The sequence below is a fragment of the Homo sapiens genome, chromosome 3, assembly GCF_000001405.40.
Source record: "Homo sapiens chromosome 3, GRCh38.p14 Primary Assembly".
NCBI classification, from domain to species: Eukaryota; Metazoa; Chordata; class Mammalia; order Primates; family Hominidae; genus Homo; species Homo sapiens.
In genome coordinates, this window is record NC_000003.12 from 177,531,212 (window position 1) to 177,547,169 (window position 15,958).

General features: G+C 41.0%; 1 long non-coding RNA gene across 1 annotated transcript in view; it reads left to right on the forward strand.

Annotated features, from left to right (window-relative positions):
* LINC00578 (long intergenic non-protein coding RNA 578) overlaps positions 1 to 15,958 on the forward strand; it is a 310,784-nt gene that overhangs the window by 89,291 nt on the left and 205,535 nt on the right. The window contains exon 2 of the long non-coding RNA NR_047568.1: positions 8,184 to 8,282. This is a non-coding gene — a long non-coding RNA (long intergenic non-protein coding RNA 578). The remainder of the gene's footprint in view (positions 1 to 8,183; positions 8,283 to 15,958) is intronic.

Below are 15,958 nucleotides of genomic sequence, written 5' to 3' on the forward strand. Positions count from 1 at the left end.
TACCTTGGCCAACGCCATACAGCTGAAAATCAGAGATTCTTGGAGGCAGAATAGATCTCTTGGTGGTTTGGGGGAATGCACAGCTCCGCTTTTACTGCTTGCCTGCTACCAGCATGTTACCTGTGACTACATTAGAATAGCTGCTTTATGGTACACAAAATGGTATTTTGGCCATCACAAAGGATTAGACACTGAGAATCTTCTTATTTATTTATTCTTACAGTAAACTTTAAAATTGCTAATGCAATGCAATGCATATTCTAAATTAAGAATAGAAAGAAAGGCTCTTAGGGTGAAATTCTGTATGTCAGACTCGATCAAGAATTGGGATCACATGGAGAGATTTAGAAACATCTGGTAATGTGTTATTAATAAGCTAGCAGGAATGAATCAACAATTTCAACTGAGAAACATTAATTTGCGTAAGATGCTCAATAAAAAAGAATATAGAATATACATTTTTCATCATATATAGCAATTGTGCAATCTAAACATTATTAAGCATACCAACCAACCAGTGAATTTATAAATTGTTGAAGACCAGGTTAAATTTGCAAATGAAGAGAAAAATCTATTTTTTTAAAAAACATTATGTTTACTATATCTTACAAATAAATTACACTATTAATGGTAGTATGCACAGAAGTAGATAACAAAAATAAGTCACATATAAGTCTGTTTGAAGTGAAACAATTGTTCTTTTCCACTAACAAAAGGAAAGTGGATGTATAGTTAAAAATGTAGCTCAGACCTCGGTTCAGGCTAACACAACAAAACCTGAGTTTTGAATTTTTTAAATTAGGTGCTTTGTAAGGAATATGTATTGTGATGGTTAACACTGAGTGTCAACTTGATTGGACTGAAGGATACAAAGTATTGATCTTGGGTGTGTCTGTGAGGGTGTTGCCAAAGGAGATGAACATGTGAGTCAGTGGGCTGGGAAAGGCAGACCCACCCTTAATCCGATGGGCACAATTTAATTGGCCGCCAGTGAATATAAAGCAGGCAGAAAGAACGTGAAAAAGAGACAGTGGCCTAGCCTTCCGGCCTACATCTTTCTCCCATGCTGGATGCTTCCTGCCCTGGAACATCAGACTCCAAGTTCTTCAGTTTTGGGACTTGGACTGGCTCTCCTTGCTCCTCAGCCTGCAGACAGCCTATTGTGGGACCTTGTGATCATGCAAGTTAATACGTAATAAATTCCCATACATATATTCCCATACATATATATCTCCTATTAGTTCTGTCCCTCTAGAGAACCCTAACTAATACATGTGTGCAATTTGCTTTACATTCTAAAGTAGTGTGGAGCAGGAGGAGGAGAAAGACATGTACGTACATGTTGTTAAGAAATACAGTGTTTCTCTTAGTTGACTGCTTATTCCGCAACATTTTTTTTTTTTTTTTTTGAGAAGGAGTCTTGCTCCGTCTCCCAGGCTGGAGTGCAGTGGCACCATCTGGGCTCACCACAAGCTCTGCCTCCCGGGTTCACGCCATTCTCCTGCCTCAGCCTCCCGAGTAGCTGGGACTACAGGCGCCCGCCACCACACCCAGCTAATTTTTTGTATTTTTAGTAGAGATGGAGTTTCACTGTGCTAGCCAGGATGGTCTTGATCTCCTGACCTCGAGATCCACCCACCTTCGTCTCCCAAAGTGCTGGGATTACAGGCGTGAGCCACCACGCCTGGCCTTATTCCACAACATTTTAACTGTGTCCTGGAGCACGTGGCTTCTGAGTGTCAGCTGTGCTCATCTCTCCCCAGCTCTGCATTCAGTGATGCTACATTGGGAGCTTAAAATTGGCCATGGTGGGCTGGGTGTGGTGGCTCATGTCTGTAATTCCAGCACTTTGGGTGGCGGAGGCTGGAGGATCGCCCAAAGCCCCGTATTTCAACACCGGCCTGGGCAACATAGGGAGACCTTGTCTCTACAAAAAGTCAAAGAATTAGCTGGGCATGGTGGCCTGTACCTGTAGTTCCAACTACTTGGGAGGCTAAGACAGGAGGATCCCTTGAGTCTAGGAGGTTGAGGCTGCAGTGAGCCACCATCACACCACTGTACTCCAGCCTGGGTGACAGAGCAAGACCCTGCCTTGGGGGAAAAAAACGAAAAGAAAAAAAAAAAAAGAAGCTATGGCAAGCAAAAGTATCTACACCAAGGAAAATGGCACAACCAATGCATTAGGCCTTTTTTTTTTTTTTTCCTGGAGAGCCAGTTGTGAAATATTAAAAAATGAATTCTGTGTGCCCATGAGCAAGTTGCTGAGCCTCTTTGTCCCTCAGTTTCCTCATCTCTAAAATGGTACGAGGGAATAATTTTTCAACCCCATATGGTTTTGATGAGGTTTGAATGAGATAATTTAGATAATTTCTTAAACACTGCGTAGCCCATGGCTCCTAAAAAATAAGAGTTAATGTTGTCGTATTTGGGGACAACAATATTGGATGTATTCTAGTGGATAAATTCAATGTATTCTAGTGGATAAATCAATCTGGTAAGTTCTTTTGGTGTATACTAGTGAGGATGAATACTGTTAACATTTACTGACTATTCACTATGTGCCAGGAATAATTCTAAGCATATTCTGTATATATGTCATTAAATCCTCACCCCAACCCAATGAGGGAGGTACTCATTTTATCCCCATTTAAAAAATTATGAATCTGAGGTTTAGTAAACAATGTATCCAAAGACATAAACTGTAAGTTGTAAATCTGTGATTTAAATCCAGGCAATTCACCTCAGTATCCTACTCTTAGGCCTATACTATTGTGCTTCCAATAGACTTCATGAGATGTTAGAAAGAATAAGACCTTAGATCAACCTGGTCCAGTGTCTTGTTTTTATGATGAGGACGAATGAGACTCAGAGAGAGAATGACTTGCCCAAGGTCACAAACAAGCTTTTGTATTTTCTATTGCAGCTCAGCCTTTTGTTTAACAAGGAGACAACAGGACAGTGCTTACACTCAGAGATAAATGGGAAGCATGTACAAGGGAATTTGTAAAACAAGAAATACGTTTAAAACAAAAATTTTATATTTTAGGATCTGTATCGTAAGTTTGATTTCCCTTCTTTTCACTAGACCATGAGACTTTTCATGGCAATGGGATGGAGTTTTCACTGCAGCAAGAGGCTGGGCTTCATGTAAACTTTTAATTCCCAATCAGTGCAATATTCAACCCTTACTTAGGAAATGCATTTCCGGTTTTTTTTTTTTTTTTTTTTGAGACGGAGTCTCGCTGTCGCCCAGGCTGGAATGCAGTGGCGCGATCTCGGCTCACTGCAGGCTCCGCCCCCCGGGGTTCACGCCATTCTCCTGCCTCAGCCTCCCGAGTAGCTGGGACTACAGGGGCCCGCCACCTCGCCCGGCTAATTTTTTTTGTATTTTTAGTAGAGACGGGGTTTCACCGTGTTAGCCAGGATGGTCTCGATCTCCTGACCTCGTGATCCACCCGCCTCGGCCTGAAATGCATTTCTTTTCAGCCCTTCCGCTTGAACCTGGAAAATTTCCCGGTGTCCAAGCCATCCGACCCTTGCCAGCTCTCATCTCTTTCCAATCTGGAGCTATTTGTTTATGTTGGGCCAGAAGGACATGTGCATATGTGTGTGTGTGTATGGGCTTGTATACAGACATGTATGAGCATCTACAGTTAACCACTCAAAGAAATGTCACGTTTCTGTGTTCCCACAATTGGAAGGGTGCCCTGATCTCAGGACCAAGAAAGCAGAGATTATGACTTGATGACAAAATTTTGTTCACAGTCTAACCCAGAGATTGATCTTAATCCTCACTGGGTAATTGTCCTGGGCCAGGCAATCTTATCTGGAGAAGGCCTACTCTTCAATGCTGTTAAAAAGATAAAGTGATGCAGAAGGCTCCCAAAACAAAAATGTATTCACTGTTCCTCATGTACAATCTGCTACTACCTTGACAGAACAAAATCTTTGACATAACTTGCTCAGGAAAATGATTATAGGTTATGAATATTTTCTACTTCTATAGGTAGGAAAAACATTATATGGTGATTGAAAATACCCCATGACAGCTGTATAAAGTTTGGAGTGAGTTAGCTGAGGAGTTTCTAGATAGAAGGAAGATGATGTAGGATCCTGAGAGTAGTGGAAGTTCTTAGAGGAAGGATGTTCTGGAGTCAGAGGATAGGACTGAAATGAACAGTCCTGGGTTTGGGAGAGCATTGAGATTGTCTTAGTTTCTAGAAGCAGAGCCTGAGACAGGAGTCTGGTATACATGATTCATTAAGCAGGTGCCCACAGGAGAAGGGGAGTGAGGGAAGTACGAGGTCAGGGGAAGAAGGGTAAGAAGGATGCGTTTTCGGCTGGAGCCTAGCGTTATCTTGGACTTCTAGGGAGCTTTGGATAGCAAATTGCACCATCAAGTTGGTGGCCCTTTAATGCAAGGGGTCAGCTTTGTGTCTGAGGTAGTCAGTCATTGGCCACTGGCCTAACTTCCAAGGTGAGGCAGGCCCATTAGGCAGGATGCAATTCTTCTGCAATGGATACAGCTGTGTGCCTTTTGCAGACCACAGCCACAGAAGCTGGGAGCTGGGCATGTTGACCTGGTGAGAGAAATATGAACAGGTACCGGAGCATCCACTATGCTCATGGAATAACCCAGGCATGTAGTGTTGACAGTTTGTGTCCTATCCAAATTATGCTGAGGAAAAGGGTTATTGGGGTGGCATTGAAATTCTTAGCAGTAGAACAAACACAGGTTTTAGAGCAGACTGTGACAGCTGGAAACAACCAGCCCAATAGAATACAAATTCCCTGGCTGCTGGCAGTGAGGGGCCGAGGTACCTGCGGGACTCAGAACTCAGGGGGGCTTGCCCCTTCTCTCCTGTTCTTGAAGTGCTGGCTGGAAAAGGGATCATTATTGTTTGGGGATTTGGGAATTCTCTAATGTTTTGGGGTACGGGAAATTGAGGATGAAACAGGTCATCTAGAGGTTCAGCTTTTCCGTGGCCTGTGATGGTGGTGGTGCTGGGAGAGTCAAGTGAAGGTGGGAGGAAGGAAGATGGAGCTCAGCATGTGGACTTGGCCAGCCTCATCTTTGTCCTCCTAACCAGAGGCCTAAATTGCTGTTCACCCTGAGTCCAGCCGCTGGCCACTTACAACTTCATGGCCTGGGGCAAGTTGCTTAACCTTTCTGTGCCTCTCTTCATCAACAAAAGAAGGCTTATAGTACTGAATTTATGGTTACTGTGAAGACTCTATAAAATATTTAAAATTTTTTTGCATGTAGTCAGTGCCAATACATTGCATTATTATGATATATTATTATTATTAGATACTAATGGTTTTTCTTAGCAGTGAAAAACTTTAAATCTCTCTTCCTCTCTTTCCTTCTCTTTTTCTATAAATCACATGCTTTGAGTACATTCAGATTATAGTTTAATATATAAACATAAGGGAAATTTTAAAAAGGGCAGAGAACTCAGAAAGTCATGAAAGAACAGCTATTCAACATATATTTTTCCACATGTGTTATTACCATTCAGTATGGTGGTTTTCTTTTACTCTGCACAATTGCATTTGTGAAACTAATTTGGGAGTAGTCAGAGGCCAGGAGATGAAACAGAGTTGAAGTAAAATCTCATTAGTTACCATGTAAGGGGCTGGCAAAATTTGACTTGAATTAGCCAGGTTAAAATGAGCTCGTATTTTAATAAACTAACAATAAGACTGTCTAGGCAGTTGAGGAGTGGGAATTGTTTTGAATTACATACTACTCGGGGAAAAAGATCTGTGATCAGAATAACAAGGTTTTACTGTACACTGCATATTGTATGAATTCTGCTGTCTCTTTGTGTCTTGAGTCTTTTATGATTGTCATGCCATTCTGGGAGCCACTCACTCAGTCTTTTGTGTCATTCTATTGTCAGCCATAATGAAATAATTGGGATGACAATTATTTGCTTGTTTAGTTTCAAAAGTTTTCTGTGTTCAATATCTTCTATTGTTTGCCTCATGGTACCATGATGTGATATATCATTCCTGCCCAGATTCCAAGAATAAAAAACATGCATTTTTTTTTTCCGGGAGAAGTGTCCCCTTAAGCACAATATTTAATGGCCATATATTAAAAGTGCTATAGTGAGCATATATTTAATAAAATAATTGCAGCCATCCATAACTCAAATAACTGTAACATACCAAGATGGTAGATGAGGTCACAGTCTACCATGGGAGTTCAGCAGTCTAATTTTATAAACCCCAAATCAAAATAGATAGATTGACAATGAGAGAGAGAATGTTTGAGACTGGACTTGTTAGAAAATACAGGAACTAGTCAGCTTGAAATATAACAGTATAAATTATACCTTGCCCACTTTAGTGATTCAAATGGCATGTATTTTTATTGTGAAGACTGCGTAACTTTGGTTCCCTCTTCCTCCCGAACCCTGCTCAAAGATTTTAGGGAATTAACTAAGGTTTCAGTAGTGAAGCTTTGGATCAGCACAGGGGCAGTTGTCACCATTACTCTACTTTATAATCTTGTGGGGAGGGAGCTTAACCAGGACTATCATCTCAGCCTGGGATGACATGCTTTGAAAGTGCTCCAGTGTCACTTTGAGGAGGGTGGCCACCTGCAACCCAGACTAAGCAGTGTAGTTGCATTACTAAGAGGTGTGTTTGGAAGTCAGACAAACTTGCCTTCAAATACAGACACTTGCTTGTTACTTAACTTTTCTGAGTCTCCTCATTTGTAAAAAAAAAAAAAAAAAAAAACAAAAAAACACAAACAAACACCACCAAAAAACCAAAGAAAAAAAAGTAGGAGAGTGAGAATAATAGTTCTTGCCTTAAAGAGTTATTGTGAGAATCAAATGGGACAATGCAGGTAAAGACATTTAGCCTAGAGCCTTGTACCGAATATGCACATTTTAAATAGTAGCTTTCTATTATTTTGTGATTCTTCCCGCCCCTGCTGCATTCCCCAATGCCTCATCTACCAGCAATTTGTGTGCACACTCAGGGTCAGCAATTCTTGGCTTGGGATTGCAAAGAAGGGAAGTACAGCCCTTTTCTGCTGGCTTTGCCTGGGTTGACCTCCCAGCTTTGCTCCTTGGCCTGATTCAGGGTTGGCAGGCATAGATGGAAAAGAGCCATTGGTTGTTAGAATCGTCCAGCAGGAGATGAAGGGAGATCTCACCCTGCATTTTGTGTCTAAAACAATTGCTTAAATTTGTCATCTTAGGGACACATGTACATAGGTAAACACACGCATATACTGTACACATCCATGTGTACAGCTCAGATATTGTCTATAGGAGAACAAAATGTCTTGATGAAAATGAGTAATTCAGCTAATCACCCAGATGTTTTAGCTATATGTTGCCACACAGCTGGGTGATCTGAAACAGCTATCTGTTTGGTGACTTGCAGATAAAACATAGATAATAGAATCTCCCTCTTTTCCTCCAGTTTTTTGGCATCACTTAGATATAATCTAAATGATATGGCAACATATGGGAAAATCTCTCACATTCAAAAGCATGCAAGCAGCTAGCTAACGCTTTCTACTAAAAACTTTGCTTATAGGTATTTTGATGAATCTAGAATTCTCACAAAGCACATCATTTGAAAGAAATACGGCAGCAAAACAAACTGCTGCATTCAAAGCAGGGGTATTGAAAAGTGTCAGGCAAACATTTTTAACCTTGTGTTTGTGCTCGGTCTGGTCAAAATAGAATATATTTCCTTTTATGGAAGTGGTTTAAAAAGGGGTAAGAGACAAGATTTAGTGTTTGCAGGAAATCCTTTAGTTGTTTAAAAAGCTTCAAGGGTTCCATCTTTGGCATCCAGGTATTATTCTCATTAAGTTAGCATTTTAGGTTTCTGAAGTGTTTGGTTCAAGTGAAAAAGATTAATGTTATGCTTTGAAATTGATTACTATGGAAAGTCTTTGTACATTTGACTGTAAAGCAGAAATCAACTTGGACAGGAAGCAAAGCGGATGAACAGGAAGCTAAAGTAAATACCACAGTGACACGTGAGGGGTGGAAGGTGGTTAGTTTATTTTTTAAAGAGTTTTCAGACCATCAGTACATACGTTTCAGTTTCTAGATCCAAATCTCTAAGTGCTTTTCTCCAACTGGTGGGATGATTGAAATTAGAGAGTAAGACGAGAATTCACTGTGCTGGATTTTTCATTCCAGGTGCAGAGCTTTAAAGGATTATGGAGTCTGAAGACCAAATGGGATGATGGAGAACAGCTATTCAGTGGTACAAATGTAAATGCTCCCAGGCCCGGGCAGGTAATTTAAGTGAGTGAAGCAGGGCAAAGTGTAATTGTGTAAGCAGACATTTGCTGACTCCACATACCACTAGGGAACTATACTTTCCCCTGGCAGAAAGACAATCAGCTCCAGCCTATTATTGCGTACAGTAAGGCTAACCAAAGTGAGGGGCTACTCTAACTTTTCAGGAAAATCCAGCAGTCTTGATTTTTATGTAGTTTCCAAAATGTTTTTGTTATGGTTCATTTGGAGAGCAGCCTTTTGATCTCCAGTTTGCTACTTTTAATCTAGTCTAATCACACATCTTGCAGTTGTAGAAACCAGACCCAGAGAAGCTGAGCACCTTGCTTAAAGTCCTGCAGCAAAGGATAACACTGGGGCTCAAACCCAGTTCTCCTCCATCTTCTTCTCTGGCATTACCCTTCCACTGAGAGCACAGCATCCCGCCCACAGTGGGCTTCAGCAGGCTTTGTTAGAGGAAACCCATGGATTTTTGAAGGTTTTAATAAGTTAATGAAACTCTTTAATTAAATTAAGTAATTTAATTAAGGTGCTCTCCTGACTTTTTCCCTAAGATAATTATTTACTCAACCAATGTTTGTCATTGGTGCCTCTTTTAAAATGTTGTGTAACATTTTCATTGTTCTTTCATTCAGTTCAAGTTACTTTTCTTCATCTCTATATTTAATATATCCTCTTTGTTGATCAATGCTTCCAAATTCTCTTTACTTCACATATATCATTTGTCTAATTTCTGTGTTTGACTTTTTAAACTCAGTCACTCAGGGTCTGAAAGTGTCTTTAACTGGATCTATCTGTATTATATATTGCTATGCATTCATTGGAGGGAATAAAATACAAATTTGTAAATCTGAACATTATACTACATGGGGCCAATGGAGAGAGTCCATTTTACATGAAGAATGCCACTACTTTATCCCTAGAGAGTATGAGGAAGAGTTTCACCCATCTTTAGCCTCAGATCTTAGATTCAGTGCTTGTAAGAGAAGAAGCACTTATTCAAAGAAGCAGGTATATATACTCTGGTTGTGAATTCTTTCTGTGATTTCAAACAATATTTGGAAAAACTCATTTCTGAAGGCCTAAGGTGCAGGGAGACGAAAACTACTCTTGCGAGGATACAGTTGGTAACACCCATGAGGGTTCCATTTGCATCGACTCTTAGCCATAGCTGCACCATAGCACCAAATTAGGTAGGGACTGTGCTGCTCGTACCTTTGGGCTCAATGGAAAACTGTCCTATGATTCTGTTACTAATCATCTCCTACATTTGAGTGGCACTTTAATTCCCAAGACATTTCACATATTACTTTTGCCATTTTACAATGAGGAAACTGAGGCTCAGAAAGGGCAAATGACTTGCTCCTTGCCTCACAGCTGTGTTGAGGAAGAGGTGGACTAGAACTTCATGAATCCTTCTCTTCTCTTCTCTTCTTTCTCTTCTCTCTCTTCTTTCTTTCTTTCTTTCTTTCTTTCTTTCTTTCTTTCTTTCCTTCTCTTTCTTTCTTTCATTTTTTTGGAGACAGAGTTTCGCTCTTCTCACCCAGTTTGGAGTGCAATGGTGCAATCTCGGCTCACTGCAACCTCCACCTTCTGGGTTCAAGCGATTCTCCTGCCTCAGCCTCCTGAGTAGCTGGGACCAGAGATGCACACCACCACACCCAGCTAATTTAGGTATTTTTAGTAGAGACGGGGTTTCACTATGTTGGCCAGGCTGGTGGTCTCAAACCCCCGAACTCAGGTGATCCACCTGCCTTGGGCTCCCAATGTGCTGGGATTACAGGCATGAGCCACCATGCCTGGCCGATCCCCCTGCTCTTTCTACTGAGTACTATCTTAGCTTTATGGCTGTTCCAGCTAGCCCCCATATCATAGTCATGTTCACTATTAGATGACCTGCTGGGATAATTTTGCACATTCTCCTGCCCAGCAACACCCTGGTTGGTTGCTGCAATGAAGACAATGGCTATGCATAGAAGAATTTTAAAATACCAATAGAGGATCTCTAACTCTCTGGCACTCTACTATTTGTACATGAGGGGGCTGTTATTGTAGAAAAGGAAGAAACATTTTCCTGGTTGGGATTTTCATACTGGCAAATTGGCTATTCTGATTTAAATTCATATTGTTACTAATTGGTGTTAGAACTTTTGTTCTGGACTGTGCTTATGCTAAGTAGAGATTTTCCCTCCTTGTTTGATTATGGATTAGTCCACACATTTTTACCTTATGAAAGGAAGAAACAGCTTGTGCCGCCTCGGGAGGAAATATGTCATCTAATAATTAGGCTCTGAGGCACTGGCATCTTGAATACTGACCTGTGGGCAGGCCGTGGAGAGAATCATGGAAAAAGCTGCATTATCCAGGGCTTTTTCCTCAGATAGATTTAAAAAACAAATGTCTTTAGAGCAAAGCACTGAAGGGCGAGAAGCAGCAAACAGGCAGATTATTAAAGCATTTGTCATGAAGTTACAGGTGGGCTCAGGAAGGGTCCCAGTCCTGCAGGCCGGGCTGCCTTGCTGAAAATATCTTGTAAATTATGAGTTGTTCCCCCAAAGAAATCACTAGGCAGGAAAGGGCAAAGTTACTCCCTAGCAACTCTGGTTGCAATAGTTTCTGAACTATAGTTTCAGAAATCTGTCAAGGCAAGGGTCAGTTACACATGGGAGGCTGAATTTTTGTATTGGAAGACTAGGTGTTTAGGATTACAGCAGTGATCATTCCTGGAGCATGTGTATTTACACTTCTGTTTCAAAGAATGAGAAATACACACTTATAATGTCGGTGCTTTTTCTCATCTAAAAAAATGATGAAGTATGTCCTCTTGCATTTACAGATTCACTGTTTATCTTTAGTCTCATTAACTTATGCTGTAGTTCAATTCATTTTGTTTCTATTCATTTCATATAGAAATGCACTGAAATTTTGCTTCAATCTTTGTACAGTATTTGGCCAAACTCTCTATTTGGCTTTAGTTTTGGCCATAGCCTTTAAAGGCTGAGTAAACAAATGTCCCACTTCTGCGTTATTGATGGTATCTCTGAACCTGAGATGATCAATGACAGCCTGATCGTATTATTTATCATCATGCATAATTGGCATAAAAAATTAGTAAGAGGAACAAAGCATGCCCATCTGAATAATTACATTAAAATACAGGTAAAAACATTCTATATGTAATATGCTTTATATATTGAAATTCTCTGTCCATTTAAAATTTAAAATACATAAAAAAGTATGTTTATTATTGCAAGAGTACAATATTGCAATTATGAATGGGGATTATGAATGTAGTTAATTTTATAAACAAAACAATTAAGAAACTTCAAGTAAATAAGACTACAGGTTGACAGTTAATATTGATATTAATAGAGAGTACCTTAGCTACATAGCTTTCAGGATGATTATATCTTTTTTAAGCCAGCAAATGCTCATACACAAATTACTTATACAGAAGAACATTACAATGGAGATTGCATTATATCATAATTACCATCTTTGTAAAACTGTTGCATTTGAAAAATTAAGCAAAATAAAAGTTTAAGAATAATATTTGCTTATTATTTAACTTAATTGTGAATTTTCCATTATATTCAGAAAATTCTTCACAGAGATATTGTTATTGCTATCATTATTATTTACTATGATGCCAAACTTTAAAAATATGACTGGTAAGCTGAATGTGGTGGCTCATACCTCTAGGCACAGCACTTTGGAAGACAGGCAGATCACCTGAGGCCAGGAGTTCGAAACCAGCCTGGTCAACATGGTGAAACCCTGACTCTACTAAAAATACAAAAATTAGCCTGGTGTGGGGGTGCACGCCTGTAGTCCCAGCTACTCAGGAGGCTGAAGCAATAGAATCACTTGAACCCAGGAGGCAGAGGTTGGCGTGAACCAAGATCAGGCCACTGCACTTCAGCCTGGGCAACAGAGTAAGACTCTGTCTCAAAAAATAATAATAATAATAATAAAAGACTGATAGCACTTTTTAAAAGTCAGGTTTAATGACGAATAGTTTATATATGGTGAAAGTCACCCTCTGTAGGCCTACAATTTTTAGCTTTGACAAAGGTAAACAATTGATTTCATAATTGATCATAATCAAAGTATAGGATTTTCCTGTATTAGTTTGCTAGGGCTGCCATAACAAAGTACCCCAAACGGTGTGGCTTAGACTACAGAAATTTATTTTCTCACAGTTCTGGAGGCTGGAGTGTCCAAGATTAAGTTGCAGGCAGGCTCGGTTTCTCCTGTGGCCTCCCTTCTTGGCTGTGTCTTCACTTAGTCTTTCCTCTGTGTGTGCACATATATGGTGTCTCTCTGTCCAGGTTTCCTCCTCTCATAAGGATACCAGTCAGATTGTGTTAGGCCCACCTACAGACCTCATTTTAACTCAATTATCTCTTTAAAGATCCTATCTCCAAATACAGTCCCATTCTGAACTACTGGGGGTTAGGGCTTCAACACATGAATTGAGGTGGGGTTGCAGGGGCGGACAAAATTGAGCCTATAACAATTTCTATCACCCCCATAAGTCCTCTCATGCCCCTTTGCAGTCCATCCCCTTCTCCGATGTCAGCCTCTGGCAACACTGGCCTATTTCTTGTGCCTATAGTTTTGCTTTTTCTAGACTGTCATGTAAATGAAATCTTACAGCCCTCTCCTGAGGGATGCCTGCTTGCTGCATGGAGGTGGTAGCACCGTCCTGGTGCAGGCACCACCCTGGTGTAGGACCAATTACATGGAAGTGGCAAGTCTAAACTCCAAAGTTGTCAGTGCCCTCAGAGTCAGTGTGGTTGCGAGCTGGACACCTACAAACTCTCACCAGGAGCAGCTGTACTAACCAAGCCAAATCCCTGTTACCCTGGGCAAAGCATCCCTGCAAGGGAGCAAAAGCAACAACAATCCATTTGGTGGGTGAGATGGATTCACTGGTACTGATCCAGGCAGGGAAAGCCAAATGGCCGCCCCTTCTACCCTGGGCACCCGACTCCCCAGTGCCTGGAGGCCTGGGTCAGCCCCTTTGGCTGCCCTTTTCTAGACCATGGATGTCGTCCCCCTTATGCTAGGCCTTTCTTCAGATGGTTTACAAGACAATTGATGAAGTCACCACTTTAATAACATTCATGGCCATTGCCAGTTGTATACTACTCATAATGTGGCAGGCATTAGATTAAATGTTTTAGGTAAGTTGTAGAGAATCCCCATAATAACATAGTTAATTATTCTCTTTATTCAGCTGGGCCTTCTTAAAAATGAGATGTAAGTGTTTCTACAATTTGGGGATACATAAGTGGATGTTTAAAGGGCTTAAGGTATTTGCCAAGCTCCTACATCCTTCTTAAATTTAAACTTATTTTCTGGTACCAACACTCTAGTGTGGTGATTAGACTTCCTAAATTTTCTCCTGTTTGCTTGGTCTTTTTCTGAGACGGAGTTGTTCTTTCTCGTTGCCTAGGCTGGAGTGCAGTGGCGCCATCTTTGCTCACTGCAACCTTTACCTCCTGGGTTCAAGCAATCCTCCCACCGCAGCCTCCATAGTAGCTGGGACTACAGGAGTCTGCCACCATGACTGGGTAATTTTTTTGTATTTTTATTAGAGATGGGCTTTCACCATATTGGCCAGACTGGTCTCGAATTCCTGACCTCAGGTGACCTGCCCGCCTCAGCCTCCCAAAATGTTGGGATTACAGGCATAAGCCACTGGACCCAGCCTTGTTTGTTTAATGGGACAACAGGAAAATCCTCATCATGAGCTCTTGCCACCCCTACCCTGAACAGAGATCCAGTTGCCCTGTGACTACAGTAAGGAAGAGGTTAGAAGATGAGATGATCATGACAAATAATAACCATAAAATCATTTCCCTTCTCTTTTCTAGAACACATTACAACTAGCAAAATATTTTTAAATTCGTGGCCTCATTTGATCCTGTCAGCATAGCTATTTTTGCTCTTTCCTGTCTAAAGGAAACCCTTTAGTATGGGTTCATAGAAACACAGTCCTGTAGAATTGGAAGATACCAGATAAATTATTTTTTTCTTTAAAGTCTTAACATTACAGAGAGAAATTCTTAGCCCAGAGGCCATGGAATTAATGAAATTCTTTTTTTACAAATGAGGAAGCCGAGGCCAGGAAAATTTTGGTAACTTGATCAGTCACAGAAATGGATTCCTGGTTGCCTGATTCTCAATGTACTGTTCGTCCCATGCTTCCACCTGCCTTCAGACATAGAGTCAGGTTAGGGCCCAGCGTGATGGCTCATGCCTGTAATCCCAGCATCCTGGATAGGCCGAGGTGGGCGGATCACCTGAGGCGGGGAGATCGAGACCAGCCTCACCAACATGAAGAAACCCTGTCTCTACTAAAAATACAAAATCAGCCAGGCAGGGTGGCGCATGCCTGTAATTCCAGCTATTTGGGAGGCTGAGACAATAGAATCACTTGAACCCGGGAGGCAGAGGTTGTGGTGAGCCAAGATCACACCATTGCACTCCAGCCTGGGCAACAAAAGTGGAAACTCTGTCTCAAAAAAAAAAAAAAAAAAGAGGTTAGATTCCCACCATTTTTTTTTCTGGCCTAAGTCACATTTGACATATGGGATTCATTTTATGTTCCAACTCTAATATGTTTGAAGCAGTTACCAAAAGCATTGTGTTGAGCAGGATTTTGAATCTGCATCTGGGCTTAATGGGAACAGTGTCGTACTTGATTACTGACGTTCTGCCATGGATTCAGGTTGGGGAGAGTAGCAGCACCCGAGTCTGCTGCCCTGGGTTAAGGCACTGCCACTCCAGGAGACTTTTGTTTTGTTTTGTTTTAATAGAAACATCTTTTGGAATACTATATCACCATTAACAACTTGTGGTAAATAAATTTTATCAGCAATTAGTAACTACTGGAGATAGGCAAGTTTTGAAGAGAGACAGAAAATACATGGGTCTGACGCTGGACAAATTGTTCATGGGGCAGAGGTAAGTGAGGAGCTGTGGAAATGGTGGGTGAGGGTCTGGGACAGGAGCAGAAACAATTAGACGCAGCATGAGGGCCTCAGATGTCTACAGCAGAGCTATGGCTAGCACCAACAGGCAAAAAGGATTCTGAAATTGGAGGTGGGAAGGCGCTAAGATGACTGACCATACTGGATTTTCTGAGATGCAGGACTTTCAGTTTGAAAACAGACTGTCCTGTGCGAATCAGAAACACTAATCACCCTAAAAGGCACTAGCAAAAATTTTTCATACTTCATTGTTTGTTGTGTCATGCCGTTGGTCAATGTATTAATAAACTATTGGTATAATAAAGCTACAAAACAAACAGCCCCCGAAATCTTAGCGGCTTTCAACCACAAACATTTCTCTTTTTGCTCTGCAAGCCTACTCTGGTTTGGCTGATCGAGACTGGACTCAGCTGGACTCTAGCTTGAGAATTGAATGTAAGTCTCCTCTGCATGCTTCTTCATTCCTCACTCATGTTTTTTCTAGGGCAATTTATTCTTCTAGAAATGGTAAGCACAAGAGGCCAAGGCAAATTTTACAAACACACTGAAAGCCTTGGTTCACATCAAATGCACTAACATTCCGTTGACTTAAGCAAGTCATGTGCCCAGACCCAACATCAGTGGTGTGGAGAAATGTGCACCACTTACTCTGATGCAGTATTATTGCCAGGT